The sequence below is a fragment of the Homo sapiens genome, chromosome 5 (genome assembly GCF_000001405.40).
Source record: "Homo sapiens chromosome 5, GRCh38.p14 Primary Assembly".
Taxonomy (NCBI): Eukaryota; Metazoa; Chordata; class Mammalia; order Primates; family Hominidae; genus Homo; species Homo sapiens.
Window position 1 is genome coordinate 147,211,211 of NC_000005.10, and position 21,420 is coordinate 147,232,630.

Below are 21,420 nucleotides of genomic sequence, written 5' to 3' on the forward strand. Positions count from 1 at the left end.
GAATCTTTAGGAAAAATGCTCTAAGTCAAAGTATAATTTTTGATATTTATGTTTAATATTAGGATAATAATTCTTTTTTAAATAGCTTAATCATATGCTTACTCATGCTTTTACAAGTCTTTGATTCAACAAATAATGCAAACTTAATCACTGTGCTTCTGATTAAGTCTGATATATGCAAAATGGAAATTGCTTATTTAATATCAACTGTCAATATGAGTTCACATTTAACTAGGTTGGAACCTATTTACATTCTAAAACCTTTTCAAACCTTTTCTTGTGTTCGAAAGTTTTGGAGCTGTTAATAACTCCATATATATAAAGAAACATAGTTATCATTAGTTGATACATAATTTGCAATTTCTCTAACTCTCATTAATATTTGGGTAACTTTCAGTTCCTATTACTGGAAAAAAACAACTAAGCGAGAAGAAAACAACAATTGAGCAGGAGAATAAACATATTAAGTGTTTAGAAAGAAGAAAATATTAAAATCACATAATTAATTAAGATAAACAATGTCTTCTGCAGAAAAGTTCATCTAACTTTCTATGGTTGGAAGAAAGATGGCTTTCAATAATGATAGAAGTTGGAAATAGACCACATTTACAGAATGCCTAAAACACAAATAAAAATAGGAAAATCGAGTTAATAATTCAGACATTTTTCAAACTCCTAATTAGTTGCATATGGATAGCTTGGATGGTGAAAGTCACATAAAAACGTCTATTATAGAATCTAGATTACCAATGTGTTGCATAATTTAAATAAGGCCACAAGTGGTAAACTTGCTTGAGTTAATTAGATCTACTCTAATATACAATAGAGCATCCAAAACAATTCAAAAATAGAGAAATTTCTGGAATAATTCTAATATAACATACCCTAATGGTGTCAGATTAACCCAGGTTTCAGTATGGTCCTCAATACCATCTCCTACGTTTCTTAATCGTACAATTTAACCTTGGTGAACTCTACATTCTGCATTAGTATATGGGATAAATTATTTACTTCATAGGTTTCTGTGCGGATTAAATTCACATAGTAGACAAGCAATAAATATTTGTAATAGTCCCATAATTTTGTAGTTTTGTTTAGAGACTGCAAAAGAATGTCAATGCATATTAATTATGAAAAAAGTAAGATCTGCATACTTTTTATACTTAAAAATAAGTTATAAATTTTCTAATATACTGGATGTAAATAGACACATATTGTAGTTCATATTATTTAAAATCGTAGTTTCATATGTACACTCTGTTAAATGCTGTGCCTTCATTGACATGTTCTTTCTTGTTGCCTGGACTATCCAGATCCATGGAAATTTTATAACTGTCATTGTGTTTTTATTTTAGCGATAAAGACGCATCTTTGTTTAACAAGAACTGGAAGTAAAACTTTGTCCCAAAAAGCAGGTACTTTCAAAGTTGGGGAAAAATACAGCAATAAGTAAAGCACTTGTTTCATATCTGTTGAAGAAATGATCCGATTATTGTGTATGGGAAGAAAGTCAGGAATTGAAAGCAAAATGCCAGACATCTAAGTGTATGTTCACCTGAAATCTTTAGGACCATAAGCAGTACTCATATTCCAATAAACTAGAAATGTTAGCTGTTTGAACCATAGAAGTAACCATTTGCACGGGAAAAACAGGGACTCTGATTTAGGGGCACCACAGTTCAAATGCCAGTTTAGATTTGTTAACTTCAATAAATTACAATTTACCTGAGTCTCAGTTTTATTACCTTTAAAGTATGGACAATAATAGCTACCTGGAATTACAGCTGTTTCAGGATTCAGTTAGTACATGTAAAGTGTTTTTTAAAGAAATGAATTTATTATTACTACACAACCATTCCCTTTCATCAGTGGAGAAAGTTTCAAATGGATTACAAATGCTATATTCTTGTCACTAAGCATTCCTCAACTATCAGTGCAACGGCAAATTTAACAAAACAAACCAGCCAACTGTTTTCAAGTATAAGGAAAGGAAAGGGGAAACCATCCCAACAACTTGAGCATAACATGTCCAGGTAGGAAAATGCAGGTCCCTTCAAAATAATCTCCCCTATGTTCCAGATATTCAACAGTTGATCTAAGAAACACAAAGTCTTACTATTCTGTGTCCCAGTTCTTTAAGACTTTGAGAAACAAAAGAACCCCAAAGAAGTTTAAGAAATCAGTAAATGGTTGTGTCCAAAATATAGATAACACATCAGATGTTGTAGTAGGGGACTAGCAATCCAGGTTTTCCCAGACTGAAAAGTCCGCATCTTGATAACTCTCTCAATCTCTCAATCTTGGGCAAACCAAGACAGTCACCTTGAGCATAGGTCATAAGATATGTTCCATGGTCATAGAATAGCAGCACTAGAAGGGTCTGGGGAAACTACAGAGTCTAGCTTTATTTTACAGATGGAAAGTCAGATTCTAGGTATGAGCTAATGACATCCCCACAGGTGCAGTGCTTACCATGAGGATCATTTCAGGCGACACATGAACTCCACTCTTCTAATTCCAGATTTCAAAATGTCATACAGGATGAAGAATGTTGTAGTAGAAAAAAAGCCTGGCTGTTATACCAGATTACTTGGGCTTCTGTTCTGTGACTCTGGACAAGTGATCTGACCTTTAAGCTCCAGTATTTTTCACTGAATATTGGTATTATTAGCATTGAATGACAGGGAGCAAATAAAGTGTTGAGCTCTGTGCCTAGCACATAAAAAAGATGAAATAAATATTTGTTATTATTATTGATAGTTTTCATCTATTTCTCCTCTTTAGTTTCCTCATTATTAATATAATCCTTATTATTATTATTTGCTACTTACAGCAAGGTGGCACAACCTAGCATAATAAGACCCTTCCTTGGATTTTCACTAAAATCATGTGGACTTTAAGAACATCAAAGAATGGTGTTTCACACTTGGAATTTTCTTAAAATAAGTCATTGAAATTGTGTCACTCTGAGCTGAATAATTTACAGACCCATTTTGAAAAGAAGTCTCTTTGACTATGAAAAATGCATGCAAATTTCTTTAGTAATTCAGCTTCAGCGTACTCCACTAGGTTCTTCTAAACGGCTCTTTTCAAAATGCTCGATCTTTACTACTCTCTACATCTTGAGCCATTTTCTATAGAGGCCTAACTATTAAGAACACTCACCAAAGGATGGCCATCCTGAAATAAAGAGGAAGTATATTTGAGATGATTACATATTCAAATGATACAGCAACAGGGTTTGCAGAACAAAGTTTAGATTGAGAAGTAATACTTCATAAATATACCCAGTATTCAGAAGATTAGGGCGTCTTTCTTTCTTTCTTTCTTTCTTTCTTTCTTTCTTTCTTTCTTTCTTTCTTTCTTTCTTTCTTTCTTTCTTTTTTCCCCTCCTCCTCCTCCTCCTTCTTTTTCTTTCATCTTCTTCTTCTTTCTTCTTCTTCTTTTTTTTTTTTTTTGACAGGGTCTTGTTCTGTCATCCAGCACCCAGGCTGGAGTGCAGTGGTATTATAGAAGCTCACTGCACCCTTGTACTTCTGGACTCAAGTAATCCTCCCACCTCAGCCTCCTGAGTAGCTGGGAGACAGGTGTGTGCCACTACACCTGGATAATTTATTTATCTATTTTGTAGAGACAGGGTATTCCTATGTTGTCCAAACTGGTCTCGAACTCCTGGGCTCAAGCGATCCTCCCGCCTCAGCCTCCCAAAGTGCTGGGATTATAGGCATGAGCCACCATGCCGGGCCTAGCCCTGCTTTGGAATCCAAGAGAGCAAAATCCAGAATTTCTCTTTCTTTCATTCCACTTTTATAGTTCAATATTTTCATTTGTTAAAAATGTAAGTCACTTTCATACTCAGGAATGTACAAAATGATAAGTTCAACAGAATTTTAGAAAACAAAAACAGTACAAGTACCTCTGAAGACTAACAGCACTCTTTCTTGGATGTGCATCAAATAGAGATGTGATTTGTGGAGCAAAGTACAGCATTTTACCCTTAATTTCATGGATACTTTCCTAGTTTGACTTATACCCTAGATTGTTTCATATTTGCCTTTTCTAAGCTTCTCAATGAAATGGCCTCCAAAAGTAGAAAAACTCACAGCTCTGGAGAAAATATCTACTTAAAGCATGGATAGACCAGACTGAGAAACAGTTTGTGTGTAAGCAGGGTAAGTTTTAAAGGGAAAAATTACTATTCCTAGAACTTCCTAACTTTAGAAACAAGATTTCAGAGTAATACACACCAAATGAAACTTAATCTTCACCCTACACCTGAAAAATGTATATTTATATATTTATGGATTTTAAAATATGTCTCTAGGTAACTTTTAAAAAGAAACATAATGTAATCAGATGCATTGTCCATTGTCAGAGCACAATCCTTGTCGTTCTATTAATTTCTGGGTCATGCGTGAGGCCAGCACATTGCAAAGACATCCTTATTATAAAAAAAAAAAGGAAAAGAAAAAAGAAGGAAGGTGAAAATGGTAGACTGAGTGCCATTTAGTTTGTTATCTAGGTAAATATCAAGTTCACTGCCTGTTCCCCTTCATGCTCCTGAGTCTCAATATAGATATATATGTATATGCTGGGGTTATGACTCTGTAGGGTGTGTGTGTGTGTGTGTGTGTGTGTGTGTGTGTGTGTGCATGTGTGTTGGGAGAGAAGGGCTAGGAAGGGAACCAGAGACCTAAGGAGTCAAATTAATTTGTTTATAGGTAAATAAGATCGCTTCCCCTTCACTTTCTATATCACAACATTATCTGATCTCTCATAAGAATGAAGTAAACTGGATTGCTGGCAAGGTGGCCGAATAGGACCAACTCCGGCCTGCAGCTCCCAGTGAAATTGTTGCAGAAGGTAGGTGATTTCTGCATTTCCAACTGAGGTACCCAGTTCATCTCACTGGGACTTGTTGGACTGTGGGTACAGCCCACGGAGGGCAAGCCAAAGCAGGGTGGGGGATATCATCTCATCTGGGAAGCACAGGGGGTCATGGAATTTTCTCCCCTACTCAAGGGAAGTCATAAGGGACTGAGCCTGAGAAACCATGCACTTCAGCTCAGATACTGCGCTTTTCCCATGGTCTTTGCAACCTGCAGACCAGGAAATTCCCTCCGGTGCCTACCCCACCAGGGCCCTGGGTTTCAAGCACAAAACTCAGCAGCTGTTTGGGCAGACACCGAACTAGCTGCAGGAGTTTTTTTGTTTTGGTTTGGTTTTTTTGTTTGTTTGTTTGTTTGTTTTGTTTTGTTTTGTTTTTTCCATACCCCAGTTGTGTCTGGAATGCCAGGGAGACAGAATGGTTCACTCCCCTGGAAAGGGGGCTGAAGCCAGGGAGCCAAGTGGTCTGGCTTGGTGGGTCCCACCCCCACTGAGCCCAGCAAACTAAGATCCACTGGCTTGAAATTCTCGCTGCTAGCACAGCAGCAGTCTAAGAGTGACCTGGGACACTGGAGCTTGGTGGGAGGAGGGGCATCCACCATTGCTGAGGCTTCAGTATGCGGTTTTATCCTCACAGTGTAAACAAGGCTGCCAGGAAGCTCAAACTGGGTGGAGCCCACTGCAACTCAGCAATGCCACTGTGATCAGACTGCCAGATTTCTACTCTCTGGGCAAGGTATCTCTGAAAAAAAGGCAGCAGCCCCAGTCAGGGACTTAGAGATAAAACCCCCATCTCCCTGGGACAGAGTACCTCGTGGAAGGGGCAGCTGTGGGTGTAGCTTCAGCAGACTTAAACGTCCCTTCCTGACGGCTCTGAAGAGAGTAGCAGACCTCCCAGCACAGCTTTCGAGCTCTGCTAATGGTCAGATTGCCTCCTCAAGTGGGTCCCTGACCCCCGTGTATCCTGACTGCGAGACGCCTCCCACTAGGTGCAGACAGACACCTCATACAGGAGAGCTCTGGCTGGCATCTGGCTGGTGCCCCTCTGGGATGCAGCTTCCAAAGGGAAGATCAGGCATCAATCTTTGCTGTCTGGCAGCTTTTGCTGGTGATACGCAGGCAAACAGGGTCTGGAGTGGACCTCCAGCAAACTCCAGCAGACCTGCAGCAGAGGGGCCTGAGTGTTAGAAGGAAAACTAACAAACAGGAATAGCATGTCCACTCAGAGACCCCATCTGATGGTCACAAACATCAAAAACCAAAGGTAGATAAATCCACAGAGATGGGGAGAAGCCAGCGCAAAAATGCTGAAAATTCCAAAAACCAGAATGCGTCTTCTCCTTCAAAGGATCACAACTCCTCACCAGCAAGGAAACAAAACTGGACAGAGGGTGAGTTTGACAAATTGACAGAAGTAGGCTTCAGAAGGTGGGTAATAACAAATTCCTCCGAGCTAAAAGAGCATGTTCTAAACCAATGCAAGGAAGCTAATAATCTTGAAAAAAGGTTAGACAAATTGCTAACTAGGATAACCAGTTTAGAGAAGAACATAAATGATCGGATGGAGCTGAAAAACACAGCACGAGAACTTCGTGAAGCATACACAAATATCAATAGCTGAATCAATCAAGTGGAAGAAAGGATATCAGAGATTGAAGATCAACTTAATAAATAAATAAACCGAGAAGACGAAATTAGAGAAAAAAAGAATAAAAAGGAACGAACAAAGCCTCCAAGAAATATGGGACTATGTGAAAAGACCAAATCTACATCTGATTGGTGTACTGAAAGTGATGGGGAGAATGGAACCCAGTTGGAAAACACTCTTCAGTATGATATCCAGGAGAAATTCCCCAACCTAGCAAGACAGGCCAACATTCAAATTCAGGAAATACAGAGAACACCACAAAGATACTCTTCAAGAAGAGCAATCCCAAGACATATAATCCTCAGATTCACCAAGTTTGAAATGAAGGGAAAAAATGTTAAGGGCAGCCAGAAAGAAAGGCTGGATTACCCACAAAGAGAAGACCATCAGACTAACAGCAGATCTCTCTGCAGAAACCCTACAAGCCAGAAGAGAGTGGGGGCCAATATTCAACATTCTTAAAGAAAATAATTTTCAACCCAGAATTTCATATCCAGCCAAACTAAGCTTCATAAGTGAAGGAGAAATAAAATCCGTGACAGACAAGCAAATGCTGAGAGATTTTGTCACCACCAGGCCTGCCTTACAAGAGTTCCTGAAGGAAGCACTAAACATGGAAAGCAACAACCGGTACCAGCCACTGCAAAAACATGCCAAATTGTAAAGACCATCGACACTAAGAAGAAACTGTATCAACTAATGGGCAAAATAACCAGCTAGCATCATAATGATAGGATCAAATTCATACATAACAATATTAAACTTCAATGTAAATGGGTTAAATGCCCCAATTAAAAGACACAGACTGGCAAATTGGATAAAGACTCAAGATGCATCAGTGTGCTGTATTCAGGAGACCCATTTCATGGGCAAAGACACAATAGGCTCAAAATAAAGGGATGGAGGAATATTTACTAAGCAATTGGAAAGCAAAAAGAAAAGCAGGAATTACAATCCTAATGTCTGATAAAACAGAGTTTAAACCAATAAAGATCAAAAGAGACAAAGAAGGGCATTACATAATGGTAAAGGGATCAATGCAACAAGAAGAGCTAACTATCCTAAATGTATATACAACCAATATAGGAGTGCCCAGATTCATAAAGCAAGTTCTCAGAGACCTAAAAAGAGACTTAGACTCCCACACAATAATAGTGGGAGACTTTAACACCCCACTGTCAATATTAGGTAGAATGACGAGACAGAAAATTAACGAGGATACTCAGGACTTGAACTCAGCTCTGGACCAAGCAGTCCTAATAGACATCTACAGAACTCTCCACCCCAAATCAACAGAATATACATTCTTCTCAGTACCTCACTGCACTCATTCTAAAATTGACCACATAATCGGAAGTAAAACACTCCTTAGCAAATGTAAAAGAACGAAAATCTTAAAAAAACAGTCTCTCAGACCACAGTGCAATCAAATTAGAACTCGGGATAAAGAAACTCACTCAAAACCGCAAAACTACATGGAAATTGAACAACCTGCTCCTGAATGACTACGGGGTAAATAACAAAATGAAGGCAGAAATAAAGATGTTCTTTGAAACCAATGAGAACAAAGACACAACGTACCAGAATCTCTGGGACACGTTTAAAGTAGTGAGTAGAGGGAAATTTATAGCACTAAATGCCCACAAGAGAAAGCAGGAAAGATCTAAAATTGACCCCCTAACATCACAATTAAAAGAACTAGAGAAGCAAGAGCAACTAAAGCCAAAATTGACAAATGGGATCTTATTAAACTAAAGAGCTTCTGCACAGCAGAAGAAACTATCATCAGAGTGAACAGGCAACCTATAGAATGGGGGAAAACTTTTGTAATCTATCACCCATCTGACAAAGGACTAATATCTAGAATCTATGAAGTTAAACAAATTTACAAGAAAAAAACAAACAACTTCATCAAAAAGTGGGCAAAGTCTGTGAACAGACACTTCTCAAAAGAAGACATTTATGCAGCCAACAAACATGAAAAAATGCTCATCATCACTGGTCATTAGAGAAATGCAAATCAAAACCACAATGAGATGTCATATTACAGCCAGTTAGAATGGTGATCATTAAAAAGTCAGGAAACAACAGATGCTGGAGAGGATGTGGAGAAATAGGAATGCTTTTACACTGTTGGTGGGAGGGTAAATTAGTTCAACCATTGTGGGAGACAGTGTGGCCATTCCTCAGTAATCTAGAACTAGAAATACCATTTGACCCAGCAATCCCATTACTGAGTATATACCCAAAGGATGATAAATCATTCTACTATAAAGACACATGTACACGTATATTTATTGCAGCGCTATTCACAGTAGCAAAGACTTGGAACCCACCCAAATGTCCATCAGTGATAGATTGGATAAAGAAAATGTGGCACATATACATCATGGAATACTATGCAGCCATAAAAAAGAATGAGTTTATGTCCTTTGCAGGGACATGGATGAAGCTGGAAACCATCATTCTCAGCAAACTAGCACAGGAAGAGAAAACCTAACACCACATGTTCTCGCCGATAAGTGGGAGTTGAACATTGAGAACTCATGGACACAGGGAGGGAAACATCACACACCGGTGCCTGTCGGGGGGTGGGGGGCTAGGAGAGGGATAGCATTAGGAGAAATACCTAATGTAGATGATGGGTTGATGGGTGCAGCAAACCAACATGGCACGTGTATACCTATGTAATGAAACTGCACGTTCTGCACATGTACCCCAGAACTTAAAGTATAATTTAAAAAAGAAAAGGAAATAAAAAATAGATAAATAAATAAAATAAAATTACCATATAATCCAGCAATTCCACTTTGGGTGTATATACCCAAATGAACTGAAAGCAGGAACCTGAAGAGATATTTGTAAGTAATGCTCATAGAAGCATTCTTCTCAATAGCCAAATGTTACAAGTAATCCAACTGTATATTAATGAATAAATGAATAAACAAAATATGATGTGTACATGCAATGAAATAGCACTCAGTCTTTAAAAAGGAAGGAAATTCTGGCACATGCAACAACATGAGTGAACTGTGAAAACACTATGATAAATGAAATTAGTAAGTCACAAAGTACAAATACTGTATGATTCCACTTATATGAGGTATCTAGAGTAGTCAAATTCATAGAGATAGCAAGTAAAATAGAGGTTTCCAGGGGTTGGGAGGAGGAGGGAATGGGAAATTATTTTTTAGTAGGTACAGAGTTTCAGTTTTGCAAGATGAAGAGTTCTATGAGTGGATGGTCATGGTGGTAACACAAGGATATGAATGTACTTAGTGCCACCAAACTGTACACTTAAAAATGGTTAAGATAATAAATGTTACGTTATATGTAAAACAGAAAAAGAATGAGGTAAACTAAAAATGTGGAAAACAAAATCAAGATGTGAGTGTCTGATTTCTTTCTTTATAATATAGAATTTGTTTAAGAATTAAACCATTTATATATTTTGAGCTATCATTTATAGAACATTTGGTGGAATACTCTGAATAACTGAGATAAGATAGACAAGGTTGATATGTCCTGTTTTAAAACAACTTCATGGAAATGTTATCTTTTTAAGACTGTATTTTTAAATCTTATATTTATGATATAGAAAAATGGATTAAAATTATATTACGACATACATATACAAGCACACACCACACACATGTCATACAGAGTCGAAGCTTATAGTATAGTGAAACTGATATTGGCTTTGCAGTAAACCAGACCTGGAAGTTTGGAAACTTACCTAAACCATTTATTTCTATTTTCTGTCCTGAAAACAGAAGAAAGCAACACACGATTTATGGGTTTCCCATGCATATTTTATAAAGAGACACGATTGAACATGGCCTCTATCACATCTAGGATACTGCAATGGCTGTTTTCTGTGCATATAGTGCCTGCCTCCTTCATAACCTGTCTACACTGAAACTCTTTGGTTTTCTTGAACATACCTAACTTTGTCTTGCCTACACAGCTTTCCCTCTGGCTGTTCATGCAGTTCCCTTTGGCTGGAAGACTCTCATCCCCTTCTCTTTGCACAACTAACTTGTACTCTATTTTTAAGACCAAGTTTGAATACTTTTTTTGGTGACACCTTTGCTGACATCCCTATACTAGAGTGGCTACTTCATTTATGTGCTCACAAAGCACCCTCACTTCTGCTATCATGACCTTGTTACCCCCTATTAAAATTGTCAGGTTTTTAGTTGATGATAATCTCCTTAAAATAAGAATCCACATTGTTTAATGTCATAGGTATGACTTTCAGCAATGATCTTTCAAAATAGTCAGTGCTGATGAGGGTGCAGTGAGATAAACACTTCCACACTTTTTGTACAAAAGATAGGCATCTGGTAATAACATTAATAAACTTATTGGGTACCCATACTGCTCAAGGCATTACACTAAGTGCTTTCTTGCATTATCTCACTTAATCAACACAATGCTTTTCAGGAGTATGTACTCTACCAGTATCTGTATATTATACAGTTTAAGAAACAAAAACTCTCAGGGTCTAAATGACTTGCACCAGCTTATGAAGCTCTAGGTGGTGAATAAGGAAATAAACTTGGGTCAATTTGATGCTAACGCTATTTTTGCTCAACAACAATGCTCTACTATGCAAGTTTTCTGGGGAGCAATTAAACTATTCACACCTCAATGCAGTTGAATAAATGAGTACACACACACACGCACACATATTAGAAACCATAACTCATATCCACTTTCCTTCTCCTTCTCAGGTAATAATATTTTTCTAATAATCATGTAATAGGGAATATTTTAATACTATCTCTAGCTTTTCTTTGCAGCCCTAGAAATAAAATGTCCCCATTACTTCCTAGGGTTGTTTCCCTCTCTCTCTGTCAATTAAATTATGTCAAACTCACAGGGGTGACTAGTAGTGAAGGCAGCATGATATGTACTGTGAGCTCACTAGAGTGCTTGCTCCTCAAGAGCAAAGACTGGTTTATTTATCTTTGTATCTCCAGTTCCCAGCATGGTGTTTTCCCCACTGTAGACAAATGATCAAAACTGTGGGAATGGGTTATTAAACAGATAATGAACTTGAGGTTACAGAATTTGTAACGGCTGTTTAGAAACTGTAAACTCCAATCACTCAATGAAATTGGAAAATAAAATGGATGATCTCTGTCAAGATAATATCTAAAGAAAAATCTTCTGTAGGAGGTTATTGTATGTACTCTCTGAATGTGATGGTATTTGTAGAAGTGAGCAAAGCAGGTAAAACTGAACATTGAGTTGGATTCAACAATTAATAGATAATTTCCTAAATATGAGACATTGTGCTAGGACCTGATTATTTTCTTATAATTAAGGAGAATTTTCTTTTTGTTATGATAACTCATCTTTTTAGTAAAGTAATTTGCATATCCAGCCAGCAGAAAATAAGGCTTTGTCATGTGTAAAGAGGGCAGAGTAATCTTACTAAAACTCAACTCTAATGAGGTCTATTTTCCTGCTAACACATCTAAAAGGCTTCCTATTGCTGCGATGGTTTAAACTGTAAACTTTTTCACAGAAGACTTGGTTTTCCAAGATCTTTCCCTCATCACTACACTCCCTACACTACAATCACACTAAACTTCTAATAACTCTCCCCAGATATTATGCTTTTTATGCCTCCATTCTCCAAACCTCGAATGCCCTCCTCTCTGTCTAGTGACACTCTATTCATCTTTCAAGACACAGATCAAATGTTACTGAGGCTTCTGGCTCTTTGAGGCAGAGATAGCTGATCTGGTCAGTGCTTTGCGAGGGCTCCCAGCCAGGCACCTGTCAATCTCAGGCTGTGGTTTCTGCCTCTATCCAAACCACAAAATCCTCAGGTCCAGTAACAGTTTCCAACTTTTCTTTGTTCCCTTTAAACATAGCACTGTAAAAGGTCTGTTTACTTCACCAGTGAATGGTTACTGCTTTGCAGTACAAGGTGTCTTCTTCATATTTTCCTCCTAAATTACTCAATGGAAAGAATGATGGAAATAATAAACATGTAATTATGTTAGCAATTTATTTAATGTGCCAAATACTGGATTCAGTCCTGTATATATAATGGTGGACAAGAGAGATGTTCTTATCCTCATGGAAGCTGCACTCAATGAGGAGAAACACAGCAAAGTTGTTACACAAGCAAAATAATGATAGCTCATGATGAGTGACATGATGGAAGGAATTAGGGTGTACAGTGGAGAATGGAGGAAGTGGTGAGGAAACAACATCAGAAGAGTTGAGGGGAGGTCTTCCTGAGCAGGAGAAATATGAGCAGACAGCTGAATGAGGAAAAGTCTAGAACTGCATTCATGCATAAGTAAGAGCCACTCAAATGTCCTGGGGTGGGGACAAGCTCAGTGTGATCTGCAAAGAGCAGAAGGGCTGATGGGCTGGAGTGGAGTGAACAGATCATAGATAAAGGTGGACAGAGTGACCGGGATTGGACAGTATCAGGCCCTGTCTAAATGCAGTGGAACCCAGCATACAGTTTTAAGCCACCAGTGATATAGTTGAAACCGCATGGTATTCAAATTTGTGTTGTAAGCCATTATTTACTTTTTTAATTGTAAAAAATTTTGTGTATCTATCTGGACAAGACTTTCTCACTGGCTTAGTCTTTACTTCATTCCCCTCTCCACTGGGGGGCTCCAGAGATTGTTTCAAGAATGCAGTCTAGTCTCCCAAGCACCCTTCTTGTGGCAGTCTCTGAATTTCCCCAAAAGCTAGCTATGTTTAAGATGGGAACACCAACAAGAGAGCATGAACAACTGAATAAATAAAAGATAAAAACACAATCAGCTCTGTGAAACAGTTCTGCATTTGACAGCATGAATATGAGGCAAAATAAGCATCACTATTTTTCTATAGAACCTATGGTATGCCGTGCCTTTACATGAACAAATACATTATGACTGGCTAGTTTTATTTTAAGTCAAAGTGACTATTCCAACAGAAGAAAGATTTAGACAACAGACATGAGAGGTATTTGGGCATAACCTGGTGGCCTGCTAATTAAAATGACCTTAACAGTTGTCAGTTTCTGAGTGTTTACTCTGTGCTGCCTAGCACTGTTTTAAGTGCAATATATATATAAAATCTCATTTAATCCTTCATTAATCCTGATATTAATCTCAAAAGCTGATAGAGATGACCATTGGTTCCTTTACTGAAAATGGAAAACTGAGGTTTAGGGCCTTTAAGTGACTTGTCCAACATCTCAGATATATTATTGGTGGAGCTGGCATTTGGATGAAAGAGTGCTTGACTCCAAAGCCCTCCATGCCAACCAGAACACCAAATTAAAGAGTTTTCCATAGACTTCAGTTCAAGTCTCAGATCACTTTCTTGCAGTTTCAATTTCCTTGATTGTTATTTCCCCAGGGGAAAAAAAGAGACTTACAGACCCAACAAATTTGTAGTGCATCTCCAATGCCATGAAGATAATCAAAATGTTTTGTGAAGTCCCCAGTGTTATACAAAGGCTATATATATATATATATATATTTTTTTTTTTTTTTTTTGCCAGGTGCCTGATTTTTGCCTAAAAAGAAAATTCTCTCGCAAAAATGAATTCCTTAAAAACTCTATTTTTTTCCTAAACTTGGTTGTGTTTAGCCCTCTTTTGCAACTTGCCCCTAATTGAACACCAAATGTTCATTCATAGTATCTAATCCTCTCTCAGGTTTTTCATAAGGCGTTGGCAACAACAGAAGGTGATAGGGCAATAGCACGGGGGGTACGTTTTTACCCAGCTCTGCCACCATCACATTGTGCAGCTTAGGGCAAAACTCTTCATCCGGACCCCAAATTTAAAGTAAACAAGTGAGTTAGTGAGAGTTAAAGATTATTCCAAGTTTTAACATACTAGGGTAGTGTGTAGCCCATGACGGGAATGAAAGAAAGAAGAGGAAAAGGGCTAGATGACAATAGTGTTATCTTGTAATATTCTTTTAATTGAATCCATTATGGGGCTCTTGACCATAAGGCGACCACTAGCACTCCAACAAGTTCAGCGGATATTTCAGGTGTATCAGGCACTATCCTAGGATCTGGTCCCAAAAATGTTAAACAAAACCAATATGATTCCTTCACTCTGTGGAACTTTACATCTCCATAGATCAAACAATGGAAATCTGAAACAGATATGTCAGCCACAGACACACTTTGTTTTACCACCTTTTGTTTCACATTTAAAAATTCTGTCCATGTTTAAAAATAAGGAAGATTTAATACAAAAGTTCTCGTTTCCAGCTTCTCTTGAAAAATCTGAATATTTAGCAGTGCTGAGCTGGCATTCCCACATGGCAGGGAAAGGTGGAGCTGAAAAGAAGTTGTCCTCACCCCACACCTAGAATAGACCCACACTCTCCATTGACCCCGCCCACCGTCACCATGACAGAGGCAACCTATGTGCCCAATCTGCGTAGGCTTAGGTGTGTGTGATTCTTGGGTTAGAGATGGAAACAATAAGAAACTATTTCAATCGTGTTGATTATTACAAAGAGCTGTATGGAGACCTGCCATGGATAAGAACAGAGAAACCGCCAGCACTTCGGTCTTCATCTCTGCCCCGTCCGGCCCCCACTTCCACCCACAGAGAGCAAGGGCAACAAAGGTGCCTGGGAAATTTGGAGGCTGGGAGCCAGGCGACCTGGGCCTACCAAAGGTTCTCTCCACTAACTGTTATGCTACACTGGGCAAGTATTTTCTGTCTTTGTGCCTCAATTCCCTGTGCAATAAAACGGAAAGAAAGAAAAAAAAAATCTACCAGACCACAGTCCTTTAAGGATCTTTCCTGTTAGGATCCTGTAAAATTCTCACCACTGTCTTGGTCTCCCGTCATAACCCCAAGGGAAGTCTTAATGGCAATCTCGCCTTTCCCTTTCTAAGATCAGCAGGCTCCGACCCGCCACCCCCATGCCCACCACCATGGCGACGCAGGACGTGTCTCTTCAGGGGAATCCGAGCCCGGGCCGGGAAGTTGGGGAGGCACCCCCATGCGATATGGAAAGTAATAGCACCCCCACTTCCCTCCCTGGATATTACGATACACATCACAGGGGGTGAAGCACCCCCCTGGGAAATAAGGAGTAATAGCACCCCACCCTCCTCCACGCCTGGCTACATGGCGGGGGGGTGAGCCACACCCCTGCGATAGGGGGAGTAATAGCAACCCCCTCTCCAACCCCTGGCTATTATGATCCACATCGCAGGTCCATCAGGCACACCCCTGCGATTCGGGGAGTAATAGCATCCCCCTCGCCCGCCCCGGCTATTACGATCCACTGCACAATGGGGTGAGGCACCCCCTTGCGATATGGGGAGTAATAGGACACCCTCTCCCCCACTGGCTATTACGATCCACATCGCAGGGGGCTGAGGCAACCCCCGGCGATATGGGGGGTTACAGCACCCCCTCTGCCCCCAACCCCCCGGCTATTACGATCCATATGGCAAGGGGGTGAGACACCCCTCTGCCTTACGGGGAGTAATAGTCCCCCCTACCCCCCTGGCTATTACGATCCACATCGCAGGGTGGTGAGCCACCCCCCGCCATATGGGGAGTAATAACCCCTTCCTCTCCCCGCCCCCACACCCCGCTATTACAATCCACGGTAGACTCACAGCCTGTTTACGATGCTGTGAGTAATATCATCTCCCCCTCTGGAAATTACCAACTATTTCACACACGGGTGTACACCCTCTGCAGTATTGGGAGTAATATCATCCTCTTCCCCTCTGAATATTATAAACAATATCACAGGAGTGTTTATACTCCCTGTGATATTGGGTGTCATATCATTGTCTTCCACGTTAAAATTAGAAACAATATCCCTGGACGCGTGTACCACTTCTGTGATATTTAAGGTATTACCCTCTTCTCTCCTGGATCATAGGAACAATATCCCTGGGGGGTGTACACTTTCTGCGATATTGGTAGTTAATAGCATCCCCTCCGCCTTTGAATATTAAAGACAATCTCACGCGGGGTGTACAACCCCTGCGATATTGGCAATATTATTATCCTTTCTCCCTGCATATTAGGAAAAATATCAGTATGAGTGTATACCTCCTGCGATATGGGGATTAATACCCTCTTCTCCTCTTATGGATATTAGGAACAATATCACAGGGGTTTTACATTTTCTTCGATATCTGGAGTAATGTCATCCTCTCTTTGTTTGAATGGTAAGAACAGTATCACAGGGGGGATGTACACCCCCTGCGATATTTTGAGTAATATTACGCTCTCCCCCGTTCCCTTGATATTAGGAACAGAATCCCAGGGTGGGTGTACTCCTCCTGCTATATGGAAAGTAACATCCTCTCCCTTCCTGGATTTTAGGAACAATATCACAGGGTGGGGGTACACAGCCTGCGATATTCAAAGTAATATCATCTTTCTTTCCGGACATTAAGAACACTATCACAGAAGGGTTGTACACTCTCTGCGATATTGGGAGTCATATCATTTTCGCCTTCCCTGAATATTAGGAGCAATATCCCCGGGTGGAGGTACACCCACTGTGATATTGGGATTAATGTCATCCTCTAACCCCTGAATATGAGGAGCAATATGACAAAGTGGTTGTACACCCACAGCGATATTGGGGGTAATATCATGCTCTCCCTTCCTGGATATTAGGAACAATGTCACAGGTGGGTGTACACCCCCTGCAGTATAAAGAATCATATTATCTTCTCTTCCTTTAGCTTTTAAGAACAATATCACATGGGGGGTGTACACCCCCTGCTCTATTGGGAGTAATATCGTTCTCTCGTATTCTGGATAGTAGAAATCATATCACAGGCGGGGTGTGCAACTCCTGTGATATTGAGAGTAATATCATCCTCTCCCAACGTGCATATTAGAAATAATATCACAGGGGGCGTATACACTTCTTCGATATTGGTAGTAATATCATCCTCTCCCCGCTGGATATAAGAAACAATATGACAGGCGGGGTGAACACCCCCCGCGGTATGGGGAGTCATGTCCCGCCCTGGTTATTAGGATCCACGGTGGACACACCACATGTTTACGATATTGTGAGGAATATCTCCCTCTCTAGAAATTACGAACAATACCAAAGGCGGGTGTACACCCTCTGCAATATAGGGAGTCATATCATCCTTTCCACCCCTTGGATATTAGGAACAATGTCAAAGGAGTGTTTATAACCCCTGCGATATTGGGAGGAATATCATCCTCTACCACGTTGAAATGAGGAAGAGTATCCCTGGAGGTGTCTACACCCCTGCGATATTGAAGGGAATATCATCCTCTTCCCTGCTGAATCATGGGAACATTATCACTGGGGGGTGTACTCTCTCTGCGATATTGGGAGTAATATCATCCTCTCCACTTTGGAATATTAAGGACAATGTCACCGGGAGGGGGGAGTGTACACTTGCTGCGGTATTGGGAATACTATTATCATCTCCCCACCTGCATATTAGGAAATATATCAGAGTGGGTGTACACCTCCTCCGATATGGGGAGTAATATCATCTTCTACCCTTCTGGATATCAGAAACAATATCACACGGGGGTGTGGACTTTCTGCGATATTGGGAATAATATCAACCTCTTGGCCTTTGAATATTAAGAACAATATCACAGGGTGGATGTACACCCCATGCGATGTTGGGAGTAATATCAGCCTCTGCCCTCTATGGCTATTAGGAACAATATCCCAGGCTGGGTGTACACCTCCTGCTATATGGGGAGTAATGTCATCCTCTTCCTGCCAGGATATTAATAACAATATCACAGGGTGGGTGAACACAGCCTGCGATACTGGAAGTATGATCATCCTCTCCCCCTCCGGATACTAGGAACAATATCACAGAAGAGGTGTTCACTCCCTGCGATACTGGGAGTCATATCATACACTTCCTCCGTGAATATTAGGAGCAATATCACCAGGCGGATGTACACCCACTGCTATGCTGGGAGTCATATCATACTCTATCCCCTGGATATTAGGATCAGTGTCGCAGGATGAGTGTACACCTACTTCGATATTAAAACTAATATCATGCTCTCCATCCCTGGATGCTAGGAACAATATCACAGGTGGGTGTACACCCCTTGAGGTATGAGGAGTGATACTATTATAATTAGTAATCAGGAATTATTAATATTAATATTAATTACTAGTACAATATTATGTAATAATAATTATTTTAATTTTACGATTATGTAGGAGTATAACTAATTGTTATTAATGTTATTTATCAATATTATTAATCTTAATATAAATTATTTTATCATCATTTTATGATGGATTTAATTAACAGTTATTACTGATATGAGTATTTCATTATTAATAATGATATTACTATGAATTATTAATCATGTGCATTATGATTAAGTCATTAATTTTGTCCTCATTATTATTATTATCAATGATTACTCTTAATTATTATTATATGTATTAATATTAATAATCAATAGTATTTTTCCTGATATCCAGTGGGGAGAGGGTGATATTATTCCCAATATCATAGAAGGTGTACACCCCCCTATGACGTTATTTTTAACAGCCAGGGGCTAGAGGATGACATTACTCCAAATATTGCAGTGGGTGTACATCCCTTCTGTGATCTTGTTTCTAATATCCTGGGTGGGAGAGGATGATATTACTCCCAATATCGCAAGGGGCGTAGACCTCCACCGTGACATTGTCTCTAATATCCAAAGGTGGAGAGGATATTTCTTCCAATTTCGCACGGATGTACACCACCCCTGTGATACAGTTCCTAATATCTAGGCGGCGACAGGATGATATTAGTCTCAATATCGCTGGAGGTGTACACTCCCTAGTGATGTTGTTCCTAATATCCAGGGACGGAGAGGATGCTATCACTCCCAATATAACAGGGGGTGTACACCCCTTCTGTGACATTGTTCCTAATAGCCAGCGGGGGAGAGGAAGATATTACTCTCAATATCGCAGGGGGTATACACCCCCTTGTGATATTGTTTCTTAGATCCCGGGAGGGAGACGATGATACTAGTGGCAATATCGCAGGGGCTGTACACACCTCCTGCGATATTGTTCTTATCCCTAAGGGGAGAGCATAATATGACTCTCAATATCGCAGGGGGTGGACACCTCCTTTGTAATATTGTTCTTAATATCCATGATGGGAGAGGATATTACTCCCTGTATCGCAAGAAGTGCACAGCCTCCTGTGATATAGTTCCTAATATCTAGGTGCAGAGAGGATGATATTACTCCCAATATCTCACGAGTTGTAAAACGCCTTCGATATTTTGCCTACAATCCCGGGGGTGAGAGGATGACATTACTCCCAATATCAAAGGTTTACATCCCCCCTTGACGACATTCTTCCTAATATCCACATTGGGAGACGATGATATTACGCCCAATACCACAGGTGCGGTACACCCGTCCTGTGATATTGTTCGTAATATCCCAGGGAAGAGAGGATGATATGACACCCAATATCGCAGGCGGTGTACACCCTCCCAGTGATATTGTTCTTAATGTCCAAGAAGGGAAATGATGTTATTACCGCAGATATCGAAGAGCTTGTACTCCCTCTCCCTTCCAGGATATTGCTCCTAATATCCAGGGGAAGAGAGGATAACATTATGTCCGATATCGCAGGGGGTTGTACACCCCACCCCCGTGATATTGGTCCTAATATCCAAAGGTAGAGACGATAAAATTACTCCCAATATCGCAGGGGGTGTACACCCCTCTTGTGATACTGTTCTTAATATTTAGGCGGGGAGACAATGATATTACTGTCCATATCGCAGGGGTGGACAACATCCCTGTGATGTGGTTTTTAATATTCAGTGGGGGAGAGGATGCTATTAATTCCAATATCACAAGGGACACACCTCCTGTGACATTGTTCCTAATATCCAGGGGAAGAGAAATGATATGACTCACAATTTGGCAAGGGGTGTACACCCCCTCCATAATATTGTCCCTAATATCCAGGGGGGATCAAAATGATATTACTCCCCCTATCACAGGGGGTGTACAGTACCCCAGTGATATTGTTCCTTATATCCAGGGAGAGGGAGGATATTACCCCCAATATCGTAGGGGTGTACACACCCCCTGTGATATTGTTCCTAATATTTAGGTGGGGAGAGGATGATATCCCAATATCGCAGGCAGTATAAACCCCTCTGTTATTTTGTTGCTAATATCTAGGTTGGGAGAGGATGATATTACTGCCAATATCGCAGGAGTTGTACACCCCACCTGTGATATTATTCCCAATATCCAGGGGAAGAGAGAATGATATTACTTTCAATAGCGCTGGAGGTGTACACGCCCATGTGATATTGTTCCTAATATCCAGTGGGGGAGACTATGATATTACTGGCCATATCGCGGGGGTTGTGCACTCCCTCTGTGATGTTGTTTTTAATATCCAGGGGGTAGAGGATGACATGACTCTCAATATTGCAGTGGGTGTACACCAACTCTGTGGTATTGTTCTTAATATCCAGGGAGGGAGAGGATGATATTACTGTCAATATGGCAAGGGGTGGACACCCCTTCTTTGATATTGTTCCTAATATCCAGGGGGGAAGAGTATGATATTAACCCCAATATCGCTGGGAGTATGCACTCTTTTTTGATATTGTTCCTTATATCCCGGGGGAGAGTCTAGGTTATTACTGGCCATATCACAGGGTGTGTACACCACCACTGTTATATTGTTTTTTATTTCCAGCAATGAAGAAATTGATTATACTCCCAAAATGGAATGGGCTGTACATCCCCCATGAGATATGGTTCCTAATATTCAGAAGGGAAAGGATGATATTACTCCCAATGTTGCAGCGGGTGTATAATCCTCCTGTGATATTGCTCCTAATATCT

At 40.1% G+C, this 21,420-nt stretch overlaps 1 long non-coding RNA gene across 2 annotated transcripts in view; it reads right to left on the reverse strand.

The window, feature by feature from the left end:
- The window catches only part of STK32A-AS1 (STK32A antisense RNA 1), a 57,897-nt gene that overhangs the window by 34,176 nt on the left and 2,301 nt on the right, over positions 1-21,420 (reverse strand). The window contains exon 2 of one of the 2 annotated variants that reach the window (NR_147191.1): positions 2,473-2,712. The exons of the other annotated variant lie outside the window; for it this stretch is intronic. This is a non-coding gene — a long non-coding RNA (STK32A antisense RNA 1). The remainder of the gene's footprint in view (positions 1-2,472; positions 2,713-21,420) is intronic. 2 annotated transcript variants of the gene reach the window in all.